Source organism: Homo sapiens, chromosome 8, assembly GCF_000001405.40.
Source record: "Homo sapiens chromosome 8, GRCh38.p14 Primary Assembly".
Taxonomy (NCBI): domain Eukaryota; kingdom Metazoa; phylum Chordata; class Mammalia; order Primates; family Hominidae; genus Homo; species Homo sapiens.
Genome location: NC_000008.11, coordinates 7,054,047 through 7,078,241, shown reverse-complemented (window position 1 = coordinate 7,078,241; position 24,195 = coordinate 7,054,047). Strand labels below are relative to the sequence as shown.

The following is a 24,195-nucleotide window of genomic DNA, read 5'->3' as shown; positions in this document are numbered from 1 at the left end:
ACATCTGATCATTCTGCTTCTGATTTTTCCAGTACACATCATACTATTTTCCCCGTTCCTTCACGGTTTTACATTCCCTCCGATCATATTCGAGCATTCCTACTTCCCTCTAGTCTCACCAATGCCTGTTTGTTTATCATATCCATCCTGATGTGTGGTATCACATTCTTGGTTTGATTTGCGCTTCCCTATGATGAGTGATTTTGAACATCATTTTAGATGCTTATTGGCCATTGTGATATCTTCTTTAGGGACATGTCTACTCGAGTCTTCTGACCATTGTTGATGGGATGCTTTGAGTTTCTTGTTGCTTAGTTCTAGCCATTCTTTATATATGATGGATATCAGCCTCTTTTCAGATATATGATTTGCAAATATTTTTCCTAATCCATGGGTTATCTTTTCACTCAGTTTGCCGTGATTTTGCTGCACAAAAGTGTCTGTCATTTAGATGTAATCCAAGGAATCTAATTTTCTTTTGTTGCCTATGCTTTTGGTGTCATATCCCAGAGAGCATTGCCCAATCTGATGTCATGAAAGTGTGGCCAATGTTTTCTTTTAGGCATATGATACTTTTAGTGCTTGGGGTTAGGTCTTTGATCTGGTTTGTGTTAATTTTTGCACCTGGTGTGACTTAGAGTCCACCTTCATTCTTCTGCATGTGGAAATCAAGTTTCTCCGACACCATTTCTTGAAAAGGCTGCTTTTCCACCAATGAGCTTTCTTAGCACTCATGTTAAAAATCATTTGAACATATAGGTGAGAAGTTATTTCTGGGCTCAAAAACAAACAAACAACAACAGACAACAGATAAGGATACAGCATGTGCCGGGCACAGTCGCTGACGCCTGTAATCCCAGCACTTTGGGAGGTCGAGGCGGGTGGATCACCTGAGGTCAGGAGTTCAAGACCAGCCTGACCGACAGAGAGAAACCCTCATCTCTACTAGAAATACAACATTAGCTGGGCATGCTGGCACATGCCTCTAATCCCAGCTACTCGGGAGGTGGAGGCAGGAGAATCGCTTGAACCCAGGAGGCAGAGGTTGCGGTGAGCCAAGATTGCACCATTACTCTCCAGCCTGGGCAACAAGAGTGAAACTCCATCTCAAAACAAAAAACAAAAAAACAAAAAAACCAGCACGATATCAAGAGCAGAAAGAGAAGAGCTTAAAAACCAGCATAATGAGAAAGTTAGGAAGCTTCTTACCAAAGCATCTGGAAATATGCAAGAAATTCTTGTGAACTAAAATATTCATACTGTACTATCAAACACTAGAACTCATTTATTCCATCTTTCTGTATTTTGGGGCCCAATTATCCACTTGTCTTCATTCCCCATCCCACCCCTTTTCTTCCTAGCGTCTGCTAACCCCCTTTATACTCTCCACCTTCCTGAGATTCCTTCTGTGTGTAGGTGTGTGTGGGATGGAGTCTCTTTCTGTTGCCCAGGTTGGAGTATACAGGCACAATCCGGGCTCACTGCAACCTCCGCCTCCCGGGTTCAAGCGCTTCTTGGGCCTCAGCCTTCCGAGTAGCTGAGACTACAGGCACACGTCACCACACCCGGCTCATTGTTTGTGTTATTAGTAGAGATGGGGTCTCACCATGTTGGCAGGGTGGGTCTCAAACTCCTGGCCTCAAGTGATCCGTGCGACTCGGCCTCCCAAAACGCTGGGATTACAGGCCTGAACCACCACACCTGGGCAAGATTTTCTTTTTTGTTCCTACAAAGAAGTGAGGACATGTAATATTTGTCATTCTGTGCCTGGCTTATTTCACTTAACATAGAGACCTACAATCTCACCCATTTTTTCTGCAGTGAAGAGGATTTTCTTCCTTTTTAGGCTGAATAATACTTCATTGTGTGTGTATACCAGAGTTTCTTAATTGAAACAAGTTTCTAAAAAGCATATAGTTTTAAAATGTCTCAGAACGTGAAACTTTAGGGATACTGTGCCCATTTTATTCTTTTCTATTTCCCATCTTATGTATATGCGAGTGTATAATAAAACAGCAATCAATGTGTGTATAAATCTATAACTTCAACAGATGTCAAATAAAAATGTTAAGTGCTGGCTGGGCGCGGTCACTCATGCATGTAATCCCAGAACTTGGGGAGGCCGAAGCAGGCGGATCACCTGACGTCGGGAGTTCAAGACCAGCCTGACCAGCATGGAGAAAAAAGGTCTCTAGTAAAAATACAAAAAAATACAAAAAAAAAAAAGTTAGCCAGGCGTGGTAGCTCATGCCTGTAATACCAGCTACTCGGAAGGCTGAGCCAGGAGAATCGCTTGAATACAGGAGGCAGAGGTTGCAATGGGCCGAGATCGTGCCATTGCCCTCCAGCCTGGGCAACAAGAGTGAAACTCTGTCTCAAAAATAAATAAACAAATAAATAAAAAAGAAAAAGAAAAGAAAAAAAGAGAAAATGTTACTCCCATTATCGCAGGGGGTGTTCACCTCTGATGATACTGTTTTCTAATATCCAGGGAAGGAGAGTATGATATTACTCCCAATATCGCAGGGGGTGTACACCTTTTTGTGATATTGTGTCTAATATCCAGGGAAACAGAGGATGATATTACTCCCAATATTGCAGAGGGTGGACAACCCTGGGATATTGTTCCTAATATCCCAGCAGGGAGAGGATGATATTACTCCCCATATCGAAGGAAATGTACACCACCTCTGTGATATTGGTCCTGACATCCAGAGACGAAAAGAATGATATTACTCCCAACAGCGTAGGAAATGTATACCCGCACTGTGATATTTTTCCCAATATCCGGGGGGAGAGGATCGTATTACTTCCAATATCGCAGGGTGTGTACACCCCCTTTGTGATCCTGTGGCTAACATCCAGGTTTGGGGAGGACGACATTACTCCCAGTATCACAGGGGGAGTACACCCCCCCGTGACCTTGTTAGTCATTTCCTGGATGGAGAGGATGATATTACTCCCAATATCGCAGGGGTGTACACCCCACTGTGACGTTTTCTAAATATTCAGGGAGGGAGCGGATAATATGACTCCCATTATCGCAGAAGGTGTACATCCCTCCTGTGATACTGTTCATAGTATCCGGGGAAAAAGGGGATGATACTTTCAAAATAGCCGGGGTTTTCCACGACCCCCGCGCCGTGATGTTTTTCCTAATATCCAGGTGGGCAAAGAATCATATGACTCCAAATATCGCAGGTGGTGTACAACCCCCTTGTAATATTTTTCCTAATATCCAGGCAAGGAGGGAACGATATTACTACCAATGTCGCACGAGCTGTACAACCCACTGTGATTTCGTTTCTAAAGGAGAGGATGATATTACTTTCAATATAGCACGGTGTACACCCCCTACCCCGTGATATTGTTCCTAATATCCAGAGGGCCAGAGGATGATATATTACTCCTGATATCACAGGGGGTTTGACACCAATATCCCAGGGGGTGGACACCCCCCTGTGATGTTTTTCCTAATATCCTGGGGGAGAGAGGATGATATCACTCCCAATATCGCAGGGGATGTAAACCACCCCTGTGATATTACTCCTATTATCCAGGCGGAGAGAGGAAGATATTACTCCCAATATCGCAGCAGGTGCACAACCCCCGTGATTTGCTTTTTAACATCCAGGGGGCAGAGGATGATATTACTCCCCACGTTGCAGGGAGTGTACACACCCATGTGATACTCTTCCTACTATCCAGAGGGCGACAGGATGATATTACTCCCAGTATCGCAGGGGGTGCACACATCCCTGTGAAACTCTTCCTCACATCCAGAGGGAGAGAGGATGATATCACTCCCACTACTGCAGGGGGTATACACAGCCCTGTGATACTCTTCCTAATCTCCAGAGGGAGAGAGGATGATATTACTCCCAATACCGCAGGGGGTGTACAAAACCCTGTGATATTGTTCCTAAAATCCAGAGTGAAAGAGGATGATATGACTCTCAATATCGCAGAGGGTGTACACCCCTCCTGTAATATTGTTCTTCATACCCTGGGAGGGAGAGGATAAGATTACATTGAATATCTCAGGGAATGTACACCCTCCCCCTCTGATACCCTTCCTCATATCCAGGGGAAGAGAGGATAATTTGACACCCAATATCGCAGAGGCAGTACACCCCACCTGTGATATTGTTCCTAATACGCAAGGGGGGAAAGGATGATACTCCTCCCAATATCGCAGGGCTGTTCACATCCCCAGTTACATTTTTCCTAATATCTAGGGGAGAGACAATTAGATGACAGCAAGTGTCGCAGGGTCTGTACATCCCTTCCTGACATTGTTCCTAATATCCAGGGGGAAACAGGATGATATCAAATATCAAAGGGGGTGTACAAGCCCCCTCACGATATTGTTCTTAACATTCATGAGGGGAGACGACCGATATTACTCCAAATATCGAGGGGGTTTTTCACACCCCCTGTGATATAGTTGCTAATATCCACGGGGGGAGAAAATAATAGAACTTCCAATATTGCAGGTGGCGTATACCCCACCTGAAATATGGCACCGAATACCCAAAGAGGGAGAGGACGGTATTAATACCAATATCGAAGTGTGTGTACACGCCCCTTGTGATATGGTTTGTAATATCCAGGGGGCGGGAGGATGACATTAGTCACAACATCACAGAGGGTGTACACTACCCCTGTGATGTTGTCCCTAACTTCCAGAGGGGAGAGGATGATATCACTCCCAATATCTCAGAAATTGTACATCCCCTGTGATATTGTTCTTCATATCTAGGGAGGCACAGGATGACATTATATCGAATTTCACGACAGACGTATACACGCACTGTGGTATTGTTCCTAATATCCAAGAAGGGAGAGGATGATATTACTCCCAATAAAGCAGTGGGTGTACATCACCCCTGTGTTGCTGTCTCTAATATATGGGGGCGGTGGAGGAGGAGGGGAGAGGTTAACATACCCTCTAATTGGGCAGGTGGTTTGACGCCCCTTGTGTTATTGTTTTTAATAACCAGCGGAGAAGACAATAATGCTATTTTTGATAGTCCGATTAATCCGCTCCAACTTTCCAGAACTCTGAGGCCAGTAGGCAGCATGCAGTTTCCGTGTGATCCGCAATACCTTTGCCGTCTTCTGTACCAAGTCAGCCACAAATGCAGGCCCGTTATCTCAGCCGATCCATAAGGGCAGTCCAAATCTGGGAATAAGATCTCGAAGAAGCACACAGGTTACTTCATGAGCTTTCTCAGTTCGTGTCGGATAAGCCTCCACCCACCCAGAGTAGGTAGACCTAAGAACTGGTAAATACTTGTTACCTCCACACTTTGGCATCTCTGTGAAGTCTACCTGGATATCTTCAAAGGGGGCTGCTCCATAAGCTCATATGCCAGGCGGAACGGCTGGACCTTGACTCCCATCATGCTGTCGGCAGGTAACACACGGCTGGGTCACCGTTTTGGCAAGAGCTGACAAATGCAAGATGTAGAAATACCGGCCTAACAACTCTTCCAGTGAGTCCTGACCTAGATGGGTTTTTTCCTGCACAGCCAGTACAACTGCAGCTCCCAGTAGCTGTGGCACAGCTACTCTCCCATCTGGTAACTGAATCCATCCTTCCTCCATCACTTGTCCTTCCCTCTACCTGGAGAAAGTCCTTTTCTTCTTTAGAAGAAGTAGGTACAAGATCAGGTGCTTGAGGGAGCAGAGGGGCTGTGACTGATGCCCGGAAGGGGGCAGATGCTGATTTTTGAGCCTCTGAGTCAGCGCGGGAATTCCCCAAGCCCACCAAGTTGGAGGCTCGCTGGTGTCCTCTGCGATGCATAACTGCCACCTTGTGGGGTTTCCATACTGCTTCAAATCATTGCAAGATTTCTGGTTGATATTTTATGTCTTTTCCCCCAGAGTTCAATAGGCCCTTCTCTTTCTAGAATGCTCCATGCACTTGAAAGGTTAAAAAGGCATACCGAGAATCAGTGTAAATGTTGACAGTCTTACCTTCATGGAGTTCTAAGTCCCGAATGAAAGCAATGAGTTCAGCTTTCTGGGCTGAAGTGCCCTGGGGCAATGATCTGGTTTCAACAACAGTGTCCAGGGTTACCACTGCATACCCTGCACCTCTCTCTCCTTGTGGGTTGATGAAGCTACTCCCATCCATGTATAGTTCCCAGTCTACGGATGGCCGAAGGCTGGTCCCGGAGGTCAGGTCTGCTAGAATCAACTGAGTCCAACACTTCTACACAATCAGGCTCGACAGGGCTCTCTGATACCGGGAGCAAGGTGGCAGGGTTTAAGGTGTTCCAAACTTCAATGGTTATACGGGGATTTTCACAGAACAAACTTTGGTACTTGGTGAGTCCAGCATTGGTTAGCCAATGATGTCCTTTAGTATTCATGAAAGTCACCACAGCATGGGGGGCCTGTATGTTCAGGTTTTGCCCAGGAGTCAGCTTATTTGCTTCTTGTACTAGCAGGGCAGTTGCTGCCAAGGCCCTCAAACATGGGGGCCATCCTTTAGGAGCCCCGTCTAGTTGTTTAGAGAGGTAGGCCACTGGCCTCAGCCCCAGCCCCATAGTTTGGGTTAAAACTCCAACTGCCATCTTTTCTCTCTCCGACACATAAAATGGAAAAGGCTTTGTCAGAACGGGTAGCCCCAGGGCTGGGGCTGACATACATTTTTTCCTTTAACTCATGAAAGGCTTGCTGTTGTTGGGATCCCCATTCAAACGGTTCCCAGTCCCCGCCCCCTTGTGACCTCATACAAAGTCTTGGCTAATACTGCAAAGTTTGAGACCCATAGTCTACAAACCCCACAGCTGCTAAGAATTCTCTCACCTGCCTTCTGCTCTTAGGCTCTGCTAGATTGCAAATGACCTGCTTTCTTTCTGATCCCAGGCTGTGTTCCCCGTGTCAGATAGTAAATCCTAAGGAACTTACCTGCTGTCAGCAGATCTGAGCTTTTCTCTTGGACACCTTATAGCCACAGTCCTCCAGGCGCCGGAGTAGGGCATCCGTTCCCTTGGAGCATCCGACTGCCATGGGGTGTCCCAGCAAAAAGTCATCAACGTACTGGAGCAAAATGTAGCCTAGGTCTCTGGTGGGAAACTTCTGGATGTCTTAAGCCAACGCCTCCCCGAAGATGGTGGGGGAGTTCTTGAACCCTTGGGGAAGCCTGGTCCAAGTGTACTGAGTAATGACTCCTGACTCCGGATCTTCCCACTGAAAGGCAAACAGCTTCTGGCTCTCAGGGGCTAATCTGATGCTAAAGAAAGCGTCTTTCAGGTCCAAGCAGGTGAAGCAGCTGTTCTCAGCTGGCAGCAACCCCAGCAATGTGTACGGGTTAAGTACTGCTGGATGTAAAGTCAGTGTAGCTTGATGAAGCAAGCGCAAATCCTGTACCGGCCTGTAGTCCTTGGTCTGTGGCTTGGGAACATGCAGAAGGGGAGTGTTCCGTGGAGACTGACAAGGAACTCTGATTCCAAAAGTTCTTAGGTGCTTGAGATGGACCTGGATCCCTTGAAGAGTTTCTCTGCGGGACCAGGTCCTGTTTTTCCGTCACAGGCTGGGCCCCAGGCTTCATTTCTATGAGTACAGGGGGTTGGTTGACTGCCAATCCTGAAGGGTTGTCTTCCGCCCATACTCTTGGCCACCGCTTAGCCAGAGCTGGTCTTATCTCTTGGCCCGGCTTAGTTCAGAAAAGTCTCCGTTCCTCCTCTTGGGGGACCATAAGAGTCATAATGACTCCCATTCTGAGCAACTTTAGCAGCAAAGAGCCATGCTCTATAAAAGAGATAGTGGCTCTCAGCTTGCTAAGGAAGTCCCTTCCCAACAAGAGCAAGGGACAGTCAGGCATGTACAGAAACTGATGAATCACTTTATGTCCTCCTACAGCACAAGCCCGGGGCAAGCAGAAAGCTTGCTTTGCTGAAACCCCCGTGGCTCTGATGATGTCAATAGTCTTTTTGGATAAGGGGGTGACCGGGGCGGTTACTAGCGATTGTTCAGCACCGGTATCTACAAGAAAATCAATGTCTCTATCCCAGACTGTCCTTCTGACCAGAGGCTCTTTGGGGACACTCGAGCCTGGTCTCCCTCAGTCCAATAACCCTTCTGCCAGGTTGAGCAGGGCCCCTTCCTCCTTGTCCCAGGCCTCCTGCTCTGAGTCACCTTGTTTTCTGTTGAGCTGAGGACATTTGTTCTTCCAATGTCCTATTTCTTTACAATAAGCACACTGGTTACACTGCAAACTCTGACAGCCAAGCAGAGTTTCTGTCCCAGGGCCCCCCTTCCCTTGCCTCTCTCGGGGGGCCCCTCTGATTGCTGCAGCTAACAAACAGGTCAGTGTTTCTCCAGGCCGGACGTTCATTCTCTTTGCGGTTTTCCTTACGGCTTACTGCATCCCTGTTTACAAACATCTGGTTAGCTATTCTAATCATTGTGATGTATTCATCCCTGCAAGCCCAGCCTGTTTCTGCAGTTTTCTTCTCATGTCTTCTGCGCTTTGACGGACTAAAGCCATGTTAATCATGCACTGATTTTCAGGGATCTGGGGATCAAAGGGAGTATACACACGATAGGCCTGACACAGTCTCGCACAGAATTGTGCTGGACTTTCTTGTTTTCCCTGAATGACCTCAGAGACCTTGTGAACGTTTGTGGCCTTCTGAGCTCCCCTCTGTAATCCTTCCAAGAGAGCTTCCCTGTCTCAGTTTAGACTTTGCATATCCCCTCTTTCATGTGGGTTCCACTGGGGGTCGGTTCCTGGTAACTGGGTCCTTATGTGCTCTCTGGGTTTTTGATAATCAGCTGGTGCATATTCCTCTAGCCACTTAGTTGCTGCTTGGAGGACTCTCCGCCTTTCATCTGTGTTAAAGAGGAACATGAGCAACGGGTGGTAATCAGCCCAGGTGGGGTTGTGGGTCTGGATAACAGTTTGGAGCAAATCAATCAGAGCTTGTGGCTTTTCGGTATAGGACGGGGTATTATTTTTCCAGTTGAGAAGGTCAGCAGAGGTGAAGGGCTGGTACCCAAAAACACGTCTCTCCACCACGTGACCATCCTCAACTATAGCAGTCTACCGCTGCTCTCTCAGGGGCATTTGGATCCCGGTTTTGGGTTGTAAATGAGCTGCCAAGGGAGGGGTTTCTCCCAAGTCCTTGTCTACTCTAGGTGGCCTAGGGATACGCTTGTCTTGCGGAGGCGCAAGCACTGTGGGCTCAAGAGTGGGGAGCCTCTTTCCCTGCTAAGGGGAGGGCACCACTGGGATCTCTGGTGCCATCTCCTGCAATGCATCTTCTGACGCTGGGTGGAATAGAGCTTCAGGAGTTGATTTCCCTGGGCGGGTGGAGCGGGATCCTTCCTTAGCTATCTGTCCCTTTGCTACTAGTATTTCCGCTGCCTGCCCTCTTAGCCACTGTGGGGAGTCTAGCACCAGCTGTCACCAAGTGTCTATACGAACTGGTCTAGGTGTCCTTTACCAGTTACCTTGTGCCACACCTTAGAAGCAAGGGACCTGTCCAGGCTTCCTTCTGATGGCCGACCCACTTCTAATGGTGGGCAATCTATTTTCCCCAAGGTTCAAAGTTCCCCTGGTGGTCTAGTGGTTGGGATTCGGTGCTTTTACCGCTGCTGCCCCCGTTTGATTCCCAATCAGGGCACTAAGAAATGAAGTAGGATGAGCCGTGGACGAAGTCCCTCAGACAGCAGATTCAAGAAGCAAGAGGTTTTTTTACTCGGCCGAGAGTATCGACAGACTCTTGTCTTAAGAACCCAGCTCCTCCAAGGAAGACAGAGTTCCTGGCCCGTTTAAGGGCTTACAACTCCAAGGGGTTCCACGTGAAAGGGCCGTGATGGATTCAGAGCACATGTGCTTAGGGTTAATCTAAGGGGGGGTTAATCTTTTCACCGCAGACCGGCTCATCAGTGCCACCGGCTGGTCTTGCCACTGACTTCATTCCTGTTGTTTTCCCACTTTTACTTCCTCCTCCTCTTCAGAGACAGGAGACAGTAGAGAAATTGTTTCTCTCCTCAGGGCCACAGGATGATATGACTCCCAATATCACAGGGGGTGTACACAGCCCTGTGATATTCTTCCTAATATCCAGAGCGAAAGAGGATGATATGACTCCCAATATCGCAGAGGGTGTACACCCCTCCTGTAATATTGTTCTTCATACCCTGGGAGGGAGAGCATAAGATTACATTGAATATCGCAGGGAATGTGCACCCTCCCCCTCTGATACACTTCCTAATATCCAGGGGAAGACAGGAGAGTTTTACTCCCAATATCGCAGAGGCAGTACACCCCCCCCCCACCCCCGTGATATTGTTCCTAATATCCAAGAAGGGAGAGGATGATCCTTCTCCCGATCAAGCAGTGGGTGTACATTACCCCTGTGTTATTGTCTCTAATATCCGGGGGCGGAGAGGATAACATGCCCTCAAATTTGGCAGGTGGTTTGACGCCCCTTGTGGTATTGTTTTTCATATCCACCGGGGAAGACAATACTACTACTCTCAATATCACAAGAAATGTACATCCCCCTGTGATATTGCTACTAATATCCAGGGGTAGAGAGAATGATGTTACTCCTAATATCGTCACAGTGTCCACTCCCCTCTTTGCTATTGTTCTTAATATATGGAAGGCAAGTATGATATGACTCTCAATATGGAAGGAGGAATACACACCCCTGTGATATTGTTCCCAGTATGCAGTGGAGGAGAGAACGCTATTACCCCCAGTATCGCAGGAAGTGTACACCCCTCTGTGATCTTGTTCATAAGGTTCAATTGAAAAGATGATCTTACTGGAAATATGGTAAATACACTGTGTGTCCTCAGTGACTGCTAACATGCAGGGAGGGATGGGGGTTGATATTACTCTGCGCATCAGCGGAGGGTGTCCACGCCCCTGTGATGTGGCTCCTAATATCCATGGGGAAGGGGGATAGATATTACTCCCCGCATCACTGGGGGTGTCCACCCCCCTGCGATGTGGCTCGTAATATCAGGGGTGGGGGGTGATTTTTCTCCCCGCATCGTAGGGGTCGCCCGCCCCCCTGCGATGTGTATCGTAATACCGAGGGAAGGAGAGGGGGATGACATTACTCCCCACATCGTGGCGGAGTCTATCACAGATCGGGATACTATCCACAACCTGGGATATGGGGAGTACACCGCCTGTGATATTGGGAGTAACATCATACTCTTCCCCCCTGAATATTAGGAACAATATCATGGACGGGGTGTTCACCCCCTGCCTTATTGTGAGTCATGTCATTTTCTCTACCCCTGGACATTAGGAACAATGTCACAGGGGTGGTGTACAACCCCTGCGAAATTGGGAGGTATATCTTCCTCTCCACCTTTGGATATTAGGGACAATATCACAGGGGAGGTCTACACCTTCCGGATTATTGGGATTAATAACGTCCTCTCCCCGCCTGGGTATTAGCAACAAGATCACAGATATTATGTGGAATGGGGCAAAATTACTTATCGCAATTAATAATATCAATTTTAATATCAATATTACTTATAGCAATTAATACTATCAATTTTAATATGAATATTACTTATCGCAATTAATATCATTATCGCAATTAATATCATTATCGCAATTAATAATTAATAATCACTAATATCCATTTTAATATCGATATTACTTGTCACAATTAATAATATCAATTTCAATATCAATATTACTTATCGCAATTAATATTATTATCGCAATTAATAATTAATAATAAATAATATCCATTTCAACATCAATATTACTTATCGCAATTAATAATTGATAATCAATAATATCGATTTTAATATCAATATTACTTATCGCAATTAATAACATCCATTATTAATTGATACTAATAATTATCGACATTAATAACTGAAAATATAATTTTTAACATCAATACCAATAATAATGATAATTAATATTAAATAGTTATACGAATGATAACAATAAATGATTAATATTAATGATTAATAATGCCTGATATTAATAACTGATATTGATCTTATACATTAGAAAACAGTAATATTAGCTCCTAATAATTAATATTAATATTTTGAACACTTTTTATCAGCAATTTGTTATTAATATTAATATTGGTAATTCATATTCATGTGACTAATAAATGAGGAATAATGAATATGAATATTACGCCTAATACCTCAGTGGGTGTACACCTACCTGTGATATTGCTCCTAATGTCCAGGGAGGGAGAGAGCATGATATTATGTTCAATATTGCAGTAGGTGTACACCCACCCAGTGATATTGATCCGAATATAATCTCCAGGGGGTGGAGTATGACGTCACTCCCAATAGAGCAGTGGGTGTACATCCACCCGGTGAAATTGCTCCTAATATTCACGGAAGAAGACAATGCTATGACTCCCAGTATCGCAGAAAGTGTACACCCCTTCTGTGATATTGTTCCTAATATCCGGAGGGGTAGAGGGTGATATTACTCGCAATATCGCAGGCTGTGTACACCCACCCTCTGATATGGTTCCTAGTAGCCAGGAAGGGAGAGGAAGATATGACTTCCCATACAGCAGGAGGTGTACACCCATTCTGGGATATTATTCCTAATATCCATGGAGAGGAGAGGCTGATTTTACTCCCAATATCGCAGGGGGTGTACATCCAGTCTGTGACACTGTTCTTAATATTCAAAGGCGGAGAAGTTGATATTACTCCCAATATCACAGAAAGTGTACAAACCCGTGTGATATTGTTCCTACTATCCAGAAGAAGAGAAGATATTTCCCCCCCATATCGCAGAAGGTGTACACCCACCCTGTGATATTTTTTCTCATGTGCAGGGTGGGAGAGGATAATATTCGTCTTCATAGCGCAGGGTGTGTACAGCCCCCCTGTGATATGGTCCTTCATATTCCAAGGCGGAGAGGATGATCTTACTGCCGATACCGCAGAAAGTGTACACCACCCCAGTGACATTGCTCCCCTGATCCAGGAGAGAAGAGGATGATGCTACTATCAATATCGCATGGGGTGGACACACCCCCAGTGATATAGTTCATAATTTCAACGTGGGAGAGGACGATACTACACCCAATGCCGCTGGGGGTAGAAAGACTCCTGTGATACTGTTCTTAATATCCAGGGGGAAGAGGATGCTATTACTACAAATAGTGAAGAGGATGTACACCGGTCTGTGATCTAGTTGGTCATTTCCAGAGGGAGAGAAGATATTATTGACAATAATGTCAACACGCTGTGTGACCACCGTGGCTCGTAATATGCAAGGGGGGAGAGGGGGGCGATATTACTCCCCGCATCGCGGGGGGCGCCCTCACCCCCCTGTGATGTGGCTGGTAATAGCCCGGGGGGGAGAGGGGGAGATATTACTCCCCGCATCGCGGGAGGCGCCCTCTGAGCAGCTTCAGCCTCAGAGACTAAACCAGATATATTAGAGTTTGGAGTCTGCACTTCAGGGTGTGTGTGCATGCGTGCACCTGTGCATATGTTTGTATGTTTATATTGTGCAGGTATGTGCACGCCTGTGTGGTGAGTGGAGTGTGTTGTGAGGTGGAAACTGGGGATGTATGTGTTATAGACGTGCATGTGCATGTCTCTGAGTCTCAGTGCCTGTGTGCAGGGAGTGGGGACTGTGTGATATAAATGACAGAAAACATGAAAGGAAGCACCAGATCTTGAATGGCCGACAGATGGCCAGTTATGATCTCTTTATTCTGCTCTATTAGAACCTGCTCTATTAGAACACAGTCCTCCTCTGGGCTGCTCTGATCTGATTTCCCGTACCCCCAAACCGAGCACTGTGCCCAATATGCTCCTCCATCTTCCTGCAGGTCACCAGGTGAGAGGCACCTGCAGTTGCAGACCTGCATGTTGCCACTGAGTATCACTCTCGGTCCTGTATCCTCAGCAACACCTGTTACAGGCTCAGCTGTCCTTGTGCTTTGTTAATTGAGACCCAAATCAGGACAAGATTCCATTTGAAAACCTGGAAACGAACAATTTAGTCTCTCTTCCTTGTTCTTTATCTTCTCTCTATCTCCAAAAATGAGTTTTCACAGTAAGCTCAATGTATTTGGGCCATGTAGTCCCCCCTTTTCTTTACCTTATTTTTTTCTTTACCTTTTTTCTTACCTTTTTGTTTCTATTGCCCTGGTCATTTTCATAGAGATGTCAGCTCTGCACTTTCTACCCTGAGGAGCTGGATCTCAGGGTAGAAAGATCTACTTGTCCAGGTCACTCAGGGCCAGGACAAAAACAGGATTTCCATCCATAATATGAACATTCACTCTTAGAATGTATGTACTCCCCTGACGGATGAGTTAATTATTTAACATAGGAATTAACTTGACTGTGTTACAAAGTAATGTGCAAGACAATTGGCCTGGAAGAAAATAAGATAGCAACAGAATCCGGTTTTATAATAGAGGTTTTGTATTCCAGGATATTCCAGGGGACAAATGATGGTTAGACATGACCATATTTATTGCTGGTAACAGTCAAGCAGATGGGAGACAGGGAGAGAGATAAGGGCCTTCATGAACATGAGGACCTCTGGCTCCTCCTGGTGGGCACCTACAGCCCAGTTTTGCACTATTGGATGAACCTTCCTCACTTGTTCAGAGGCTGCTGGACACCAATTGCAAGAGCATAGCTTTGGGGACATGCTATGTATCCACATGTATCCACAAACGTAGTGCTTCTTTAAGAAAGGACAATGAGCTACCCATCCTCTTTAAAAAAAAAAAAAGGCACTACGTTTGTGGATACATGGGATATGTGTGGTTATTCCCTTATTTGTTCATTCCTGGAGAACCGTGGAGATTAGTGCCTGTCAGGACTTAGTACCTGGGTGTTGCATCTTGAAAATGGCTGGGAAAGAACCTCGCTAGACAGGGGTATTGACCAGCTCTGGAAAACGGGTGCTCAGAGGCAGCACAGAGCCCAGTATCAGCGGGAGCCCAGTTACAAGGGGGCTGAGGAAGCCCAGATGAGAAGCCAGTGTATATTGCACCAGGGTGCTGGCAGTGCAGGGGATAAGAAATGGCCCCATTCAAAATTTATATTGAAGGTACAGAAGCAACAGAAGTTGCTGATGTAAGAATATGGAATATTAGGATATCTGAAGAATATTTTTATTTTTTGCCCTGAACAACTGCAGAGACACTGGTGCCATTTTCTGAAATGACAACACCTGTATGTGTGTGTGGTGCCTGCAAGCTGGGGAGATGTACAGTGAAGAGTTTAGTTTTGGACATTAGGGGTGAGGAATCTGTTGGAGATTCTAGCGCACACGACAGGAAATGTGTTCCAGAGTCTGGAATTCAGCTGGGTGGTTGGAGCTGAAGATATAAATGCAGGAATCATTCTGAAATTGACAGCATTTAGCACTATACATTTGGAAAAGATTTCATGGAGAATGAGTATTCTAAGAGAAGATTAAAATTTCAGTAATATTGGGTGATTGCCTGAATGAACTACATGAAATTTGAATAATATTGGGTGATTGCCAGAATGAATTACATGGACTTTGGGGTTAAAAATGTGATATTCAAAGGCACCGTAGAGCCTGGAGAAACTTTGACAGGCTGTTTCTGAAAGCAGCTTAGGCTAAGAAAGCTTTAAGTGGCTGTTATTTGTTGCCTAGTTGTCTGCTCGTGCCTGCGGGATGAACTGCATACATTAATCTTTCAAGGGTTTCAAGGTCTTGCACCCAAGACCCCTTGGAGAGACTCTATTGCCCCCAATTTAGAGTTGAAAGACAGAGGCCATGATAGGTGAAGTCATGCACTAATGATCCCACAGCTAGTTGATGGCACCACTGAGACTGCAGCTCCCAACAGACAGCACATTGTCTTACCCGAAGCCCATAATGCAGTTTTCACTCCTGCAAAGGGGACAGCTACATCTGGGTCCTCTGTCCCAGGCTGCTGCAAGGCTAGGACCTGGTGAGCTTTCTCCAAGAGGCTCCAGAGAAGGACAAGGGGAAAGGCTCTCAGGGCTGTGAGCCTCCTAGAGGTCACTGTCTCTCAAGGGACCGAAGGAGCCTGAGGACCAAGGGGAGTAAAAAGACCCCAGCTCTGTGATATCTGGAGGAAGCAGCATCCCAGGGCAATGAGCTACCCCAAACCTGCGTGGCTGTGGGATAGAGGTATCCTTTGGGTTGATGGTTCAGACCTTTGATGATTCTCCAATCCAGCAGCTGCACTGAAACACCTGCTCTTCACGTTCATGAAGGCCCCTATCACTCTCCCTGTCTCCCATCTGCTTGACTGTTACCAGTAATAAACACACATCTAAGCATTGTTTGTCCCCTGGAATATCCTGGAATACAAAACCTCTATTATAAAACCAGATTCTGTTGCTATCTGAAGTATTTTCTTTCAGGCCAATTCCCTTGCCCTTTAGTTTTTAGCACAGTTAAATTAATTTTTATGTTAAATAATTAAATCATCGCCCAGGGAGTACATGCCTTCTAAGAGTGAATGTCCATATTATGTATGGAAATTAAGAGTGAATGTCCATATTATGGATGGAAATCCTGTTTTTGTCCCAGCGCTGAGTATAGGAGAGGCAAGATTGGACTCAGAATAAAGGACAAGAAAAATAGTTTTTCAGACTTTATTTTAAATGACAGCACGTTTGAAGTCAAGGGGACAATAGATAATGGGCACTTTGCTACAGTTAAAGAAAAAAGGGAACAGGAAAGGCATTTTATTCTAAATGATTATTTACAAACGCATTAAGAAACTAAAATTATTTTCCATAATGTCAGTGCCGTTTTCTTTTTCTTTCTTTCTTTTTTTTTGGGGGGGGTGGGGGTATGGAGTCTCGCTTTGTTGCCCAGGCTGGAGTGCACTGGCACAATCTCAGCTCCCTGCAACCTCTGCTGTCCACGTTCAAGAGATTCTCGTGTCTCAGCCTCCAGAGTAGCTGGGACTATAGGCACCCGCTGCCACATCCAGATAATTTTTGTATTTTTAGTAGAGATGGAGTTTCACCATGTTGGCAAGGCTGGTCTCGACCTCCTAACTTCAAATGATCTGCCCGCCTTGGCCTCCCAAAGTGCTGGGATTACATGCATGAGCCATTGCGCCCAGCCCAGTGGAGTTCTCTAGAAATACTTCTGCCAGAGATAATGAGAAACTTGACTGGCAACAGAGTTGTGTCTAAGGCTGAGCAATGGGCTGCCGGTGAGGGCCTGGTCCTGGGAAGATGGGCCACCGGGCATCTTCTGGCTTGGCCAGTGCTCAGCTCTGCCTCTCACACCACAGGGCCTGGACAGTGGTTTTTAAACCACCCATTTATCTTTCCAGATTTTCTGCTCACCCAATTAATTTTGGGGTCAGAGAAGGATGAAGAGAGACTGAAGATATCAATTTCTCCAAATAATAAGGACTCTGGGTGATCAAACACATGAGAGAATTCATGGAGAAAGGTTAGAACTGGAACAAAAATGTCCCAAATTGTTTCTTCAGTCATTGCTAGAGATTCAGAGAGACAATGCCAGAGAGACGGAGGCTAGGAAACAATTGTGGAACGCTATCTACAAACTTAGCAATGTCCAGTGAGAAATAGAGAAGCAGTACAAATACAGATGGTTTAAAACCTGGTGCTAAATGGCCACCAGGGCAAAACAAGGGCCATGAAACCTGGAATCACTGATGCAGGAAATTAGTCCCTCCCAGGCTCCCTGTTAATTCACGAATTCAAATAAATATTATAGATATTACAGATTTAATTCAGATCCTCTCATTTTCATAAGGCAGAATAAGTGGGAGATAAACTCTATCAGTTTCTCTGCAAAGAAAGAAAAAACTGAAACACATATCAAACACCCCAACCTCTCCACTGTATTCTAAAGGTCTGGCTTCTCTCCCACTCTCTCAAGGCAATAGCATGACTTGACACTTTCTAATTTTGTAGGAGTCACTAAGAATAAAGACAGGAGTTTGGACTGGCACAAAGGTTTAGAAGCCCACACAATCTCATTTATAATAGCACTCAAAAATAAAATTCTTAGAAGTAATTTTAACCAAAAAAGTGAAAGATCTGTACACTGAAAACTATAAATATTGATGAATAAAACTGAAGAAGACACAAATGAATGGAAAGATATCTTGAGTTCATGGATTGGAAGAATTAATATTATTAAAATGTCTACACTACCCAAAGTGATCTGTAGATCCCCATCAAAATTCCAATGCAATTTTTCACAGGAATTAAAAAAATACTAAAATTGGCATGAAATCAGAAATGACCCCGAATAGCCAAAGCAATCTTGAGCAAAAATAACAAAGATAGCGGCATCATGCTCTCTCATTTTAAAATGTATCATAAAGTTATTGGAAGCAAAACAGCATGGTCTGGTGTAAAAGCAGACACAATAACCAAAGGAAAGGAGTAGAAAGCCCAAAACTATACCCAGGGCTTTATGATTACTTGATCTTCAACAAAGATGCCAAGAACACACAATGGGGAAAGGACAGTCTTTTCACTAAAAGGTGTAAGGAAAACTAGATATCCACAAGCAGAAGAATGAAATTGGACACTTATCCCACACTATACACAAAACTCAACTCAAAATGGATTAAAGACTTACATAAAAGACCCGAAATTGTAAATCTACTAGAAGAAAACATGGAGGGAAATCTTTATGACATTTTTCTGGGCAATTATTTCTACAACAGGACTCCAAAAGCAAAGACAACAAAATCAAAAATAGACCAAGGAGGTTACATCAACTAAAAAACTTCTGCACAGAAAGGAAACAAAAAGATGATCCAGGGACTAGGAGAAAGTGTTTGCAAACCATATATCTGATAAGGGGCTAATATCCCAAAGATATAAGGAATTCAAACACTCAATAAGACGAAAACAAACATCTCAATTTAAAAAAGGGCAATAAACCTGGCCCACAGATATATGAAAAACACACTCGACATCACTAATTATCAGGGAAATGCAAATTAAAATCATAAAGAGGTAATCATCTGTTAGAATGGCTTTTAACAAGTAGACAAATAATACGTGTTGGTGAGGATATAAAAAAAAGGGGACCCTTGTAGGCCATTGGTGGAAATGTAAATTAGTGCAGCCATTTTGGAAAATAGTATGGCGGTTCCTCAAAGCACTGAACATAGAATTACCATATGACCCAGCAATCCCACTTCTGGGTATATCTCCCAAGAAATTGAAATCACTGTATCAAAGAAGAATCTGCACTCCCATGTCCATTTCAGCATTATTCAAAATAAGCAAGATATGGAATTAGCCTAAATGTTCATCAGTGGATGAATGAATAAAGAAAATATGGTATACATGCAAGATGGTATACCATATAGCCTTAAAAAAGAAGGAAATTGGCAGGGCGCGGTGGCTCACTCCTGTAATCCCAGCACTTTGGGTGGCCCAGGCGGGCGGATCACGAGGTCAGGAAATCGAGATCATCCTCGCTAACACAGTAAAACACCGTCTCTACTAAAAATACAAAAAAATTAGCCGAGCATGGTGGCGGGCGACTGTACTCCCAGCTACTCAGGAGGCTGAGGCAGGAGAAAGGCGTGAACCTGGGAGGCGGAGGTTGCAGTGAGCCGGGATCGCACCACTGCACTCCAGCCTGGGCGACAGCAAGACTCCGTCTCAAAAAAAAAAAAAAAAAAAAAAAAGAAGGAAATTCTTCATTCATGACAACATGGATGGAACCAAAGGACAATGTGCTAAACGAAATAAACCAGACACAGGAAGACAAATACTATATGATATCACTTACACATGGAATGTTAAAATGTCAGTTTTATGGAACTAGAGTACAAAGGTGGTCATCAGAAGCTGCAGGTGGGTGAGATAGGAAAAGAGAAGATGTTGAGCCAAGAGTACAAAGTTTCAGTTATGCTGGAGAGTCTTAGTGATCTATGGCACTGCACGGTGACCACAGTTAATAGTGATGTATTGTATCTTTCAAACTGCTAAAGGAATCAATTTGTAATTCTCCTTAAAAAATTAAGTTGGTGAGGTGATGGCTATCTTAATTAGCTTATGTGTTTCTCCCATGTGGATATCAATCCAAACGTCACATCATACCCTACAAATATACAGAAAATTATTTTTCAATGAATAAATAAATAAATTTGAAAAAAATTAAATGAGGAATTCAAATATAGAGACTCTCCAAGGGCCCACTGAGCCCCAAAGGATTTGGATCAAATATGGTGATATTATGGAAATATGTAGTAATATCTTAAAAATGTGTAAGATATAGTCTCTTTTTTTTTTTTTAAGAGAAAGGGGTCTCACTATGTTTTTAGGCTGGTATCGAACTCCTGGTCTCCAGTGATCCTCCCACCTCAGCCTCTCAAATAGCTAGAAATATAGGCATGTACCACCATGCTGGCTTAAGATGCATTCTTTGACACAGCAATTCTATTTCTATAAGTTTATCCATATAGGTAAGAGAACATATATACAAGATAATCACTGTAACTTTACTTATTACTGCAAAAGTTTAAAAATAACCAAATTGTAATAATTTTATAATATTTTATCAGTACAAAAAATAAGTGATGGCATATACAAACCCTGGGATAGTATAAGGCTATTAAAATTATAATAGCATTCCATGTATTTTGATATACAAAGTGCCAATGTTACAGGTGAAAAAAGCGAAGTGCAGAATACTATGTGTAACTGTTAATAGTGATGGTTTGCTGGGTCAGAACTGAAGGCCTGGGGGTAGAAATGAGAGCTCATGACTTCTACCTTTTGAATGTTGTTCCTTGTGCATGATTTACAATTTTCTAAAACTAAAAAAAAAATCTCAGAAAGGGGCTGTACGCACCTAAATTACTTTGATATTCCCCAAAGTGGAGAGAAGTACCCGCTACACATTTTATGTGATGCATTCAGATCACACCAACTCCTTGAACTAAATCCGAATTTTTATTTTAATCTGATAAACTTGGCCTACTATTTTACTGAACTCATTTCCCCTATAGCCTGATAAGGTCATTGACCTCTCCATACTGGCACCAGCGGGAGACTACTCACCTCGAGATCTCAAAAGCCTCCTACATGAGGTTAGTAATATCCCTGAATCCTGCAATGAATTAACTCTCTACTCCACTGAGTCCCAGGTCTGCCCCCAGAGAGTCATCCAGAGAGTACCAGGGACCATCTTCAGAAAACAAGAGGCATTTGATCCCCAAACTTCTTGAATGAAAGCGCTGTTGTTTTTCTTTTTTGAATATATAAAAGTAAATACTCAAGCAGATGGGAAACAGAACAGGATAGTAATACCCTTATCATCATTAACACCTTGGATCAAGAAGAGGCATTAAGCATACAGACTCACGCTTTGATGAAAGCTGGGAGAAAGAGGAGCATCAAAGGGATCTTGAGAACAAAGGCAGTCCTTCCCCTCCCAATCACATGCCCACCTCCTCTCACTGCAGCTTCTGTCTCAGGTCTTCTCCCAGCAGAGCTATAAATCCAGGCTGACTCCTCACTCCCCACATATCCACTCCTGCTCTCCCTCCTGCAGGTGACCCCAGCCATGAGGACCATCGCCATCCTTGCTGCCATTCTCCTGGTGGCCCTGCAGGCCCAGGCTGAGTCACTCCAGGAAAGAGCTGATGAGGCTACAACCCAGAAGCAGTCTGGGGAAGACAACCAGGACCTTGCTATCTCCTTTGCAGGAAATGGACTCTCTGCTCTTAGAACCTCAGGTAGGAGACATCAATCTTGCACATCTGCAAAATCTAGAAAAAAAGGATTGGAGAAAGGATCTGGAGTCAAGTGTGGAAAGGTCTACCTCACTTGAGTGACTTTACTTAATCTTCCTGGACCTTGATTTTCTCATCTATAAATTAATCAGTGAGAACCAAATAAATCTAAAAGATTTTCTTTTTTCTAAGACTTTCAGTTCCAAGATATTTCTGTGAAATTTGCTACTTTTAAGATAGAAAGAGCTACACTGACTAGTTCTTTGTAGATCTAAATGGGCAGACTTAGTTATATAGAGAGTGTTTTACTTTGTCCATTGGAAAAGCTTTTAGAACCTAGAGAGGAACCTATAGGTGTGTTTTGATGTAGGCTAATAGGCTTGATTAAATCTTTCTACAATACATCCTTAGATCAAAACATCATATTGTGTCTCATACATATACACAATTATTGTTTGTCAATTAAAACAAGTAAATATGTAAAATGTTAAAAAAAAAAAAAAAAAAAAAAAAAGGAGAGACAGAGAATGAAGAATTTGAATTTGGAAAGTCTTCAAAGACTCCTTGAGCACCAAAGTATTTGGTCCATGACATTAGCATGCACAATGCGGCATTTCAGAAACTGATTCAGGTGCTTTAGGGAGCCTTGTTAGGACCTGGAAATCACACATGGAGGTCAAGATTAGGCGTGTGGATGAAGCAGAATGAAGAGTAGGTAACCCTGAGGTTGAGAGGTATATTGTTGGACCAGGGAGCAGGTAATAAATACATCCTGGATAGACTCACATGGGGAAAAAAACTATGATCTTGCATGACTAACACATAGCTAGTAAGATTTCTTGTCACTTACGACAAAGACATGAATTTTCTCCATCCTAACATGACTGATACAGTGTCTCTTATTTAGACTATCTCAGTTAGTCTGGCTGTGCTTGTCCTTTTTCCCACCTCCCTCGCTGTGCCTGACCCTCTCTTCTTTCCACAGGTTCTCAGGCAAGAGCCACCTGCTATTGCCGAACCGGCCGTTGTGCTACCCGTGAGTCCCTCTCCGGGGTGTGTGAAATCAGTGGCCGCCTCTACAGACTCTGCTGTCGCTGAGCTTCCTAGATAGAAACCAAAGCAGTGCAAGATTCAGTTCAAGGTCCTGAAAAAAGAAAAACATTTTACTCTGTGTACCTTGTGTCTTTCTAAATTTCTCTCTCCAAAATAAAGTTCAAGCATTAAACTTAGTGTGTTTGACCTTTTTAATTTTCTTTTCTTTTTCCTTTTTTTTCTTTTGCTTTGTTATATGGTGGTTTGTATGGTTCCTTTGTATTGAGAATTCTGATCTACATTAAGTTAACTGGTCTTTGCATTCCAATGATGCACAATTTGAGCATCATAGAGCAATAACAAAATAACAAAAATGAATATAATTGGGTTTTTTATTGTTGTTGTTTGAGACAGTGTCTAACTTAGCCACCCAAGCTGGAGTACAGCGGTGCAATCTCGGCTCACTGCAGCCTTGACCTCCTGTGCTCAAATGATCCTCCCACCTCAGCCTCTTGAGTAGCTGGGACTACAGGCATGTGCCACCACACCCTACTAATGGTTTGTATTTTTTTGTAGAGACAGGGTTTCACCATATTGCCCAGGTTGGTCTCGAACCCCTGAGCTTAAGTGATCTGCTCTCCTCAGCCCCCCAAAGTGCTAGGATTACATGCTTGAGCCACCATTCCTGACAGGATATAAGTGTTAATTGGAATAGTTTGAAACTTAAAAATTCAATGCATTCCTAATGATACTCAAAAAGTAGAAGTTTACAATGAGAGGCAAAAAGTGGTTGTTGGCTCAAAGGAAAGATAGATCTAATGGGCTATGTTTACTTGTCCTTTAATTTTAAAAAGTGGGAAAGCATTGCTATACATAATTTTTGAAATTTTAAGCAGATGTGTTAAATATATACACTTTACATTAAGCTTTATTTCACTCTGTTTTGGTGATATATAACTGTATCAACAAGATAGAATAAAATAAAGTTTACTAAGGAAAAAGTTAAAACTGTGCCCAAAACAAGAAAGACTGACAAGCATCAGTGATCTCAATTAATAACCAGATAGAAGAGGAGCTCAGAAGCTGGTGACCATAGAGGACGAGGCCCAATAACCAATGAGACAAATGGTCCCTCACTGGTCCCCAAAAGGTTAATTAGACCAATGTTTAATGAAGGAGTTGGTCTCAACTCTCCATCCCTTCAAGCATATGAACTCTATTTATTATAATAAAGCTATACTCATTTTAATAAAATGCTAGTGAGAAAATATATGTTAATATGTTTTTAATTATGCCAATGAACCAAGTCAATACATCATAATGATAAGAAAATTGGCCATACACTTAGGGCTATGCAAAAACTTAAGAACGACGTATTTGTGAGAAAAACAAGTTTCTAGAATTAAAATTTATATAAAAGACAGGGATTGAACAGTGTCATGACATGACA

The 24,195-nt window shown here is 43.7% G+C and overlaps 1 protein-coding gene and 1 long non-coding RNA gene across 2 annotated transcripts; one reads left to right on the top strand and one right to left on the bottom strand.

Annotated features, from left to right (window-relative positions):
- Positions 1–4,947: 4,947 nt before the first annotated feature.
- Positions 4,948–5,569, bottom strand: LOC105377799 (uncharacterized). The gene is made up of 2 exons (XR_002956660.1): positions 5,304–5,569; positions 4,948–5,198 (listed from the first exon to the last, which is right to left on the bottom strand). It is a non-coding gene; the product is annotated as an uncharacterized LOC105377799 (long non-coding RNA).
- Positions 5,570–21,502: 15,933 nt separating this feature from the next.
- DEFA5 (defensin alpha 5) lies at positions 21,503–22,938 on the top strand. Its single transcript, NM_021010.3, has 2 exons — positions 21,503–21,716; positions 22,699–22,938. Exons 1-2 carry the CDS (start codon positions 21,545–21,547, stop codon positions 22,809–22,811), a joined length of 285 nt encoding a protein of 94 aa, NP_066290.1. The 5' UTR covers positions 21,503–21,544; the 3' UTR covers positions 22,812–22,938.
- The last annotated feature ends 1,257 nt before the right edge of the window (positions 22,939–24,195 follow it).

Excerpts from the sequence above, each read along its gene's own strand:
- DEFA5 (NM_021010.3), top strand. The coding sequence starts at position 21,545 with ATGAGGACCATCGCCATCCTTGCTGCCATTCTCCTGGTGGCCCTGCAG. Across the intron at positions 21,717-22,698 it reads CTCTGCTCTTAGAACCTCAG|GTTCTCAGGCAAGAGCCACC; the intron begins GTAGGAGACATC and ends TTCTTTCCACAG.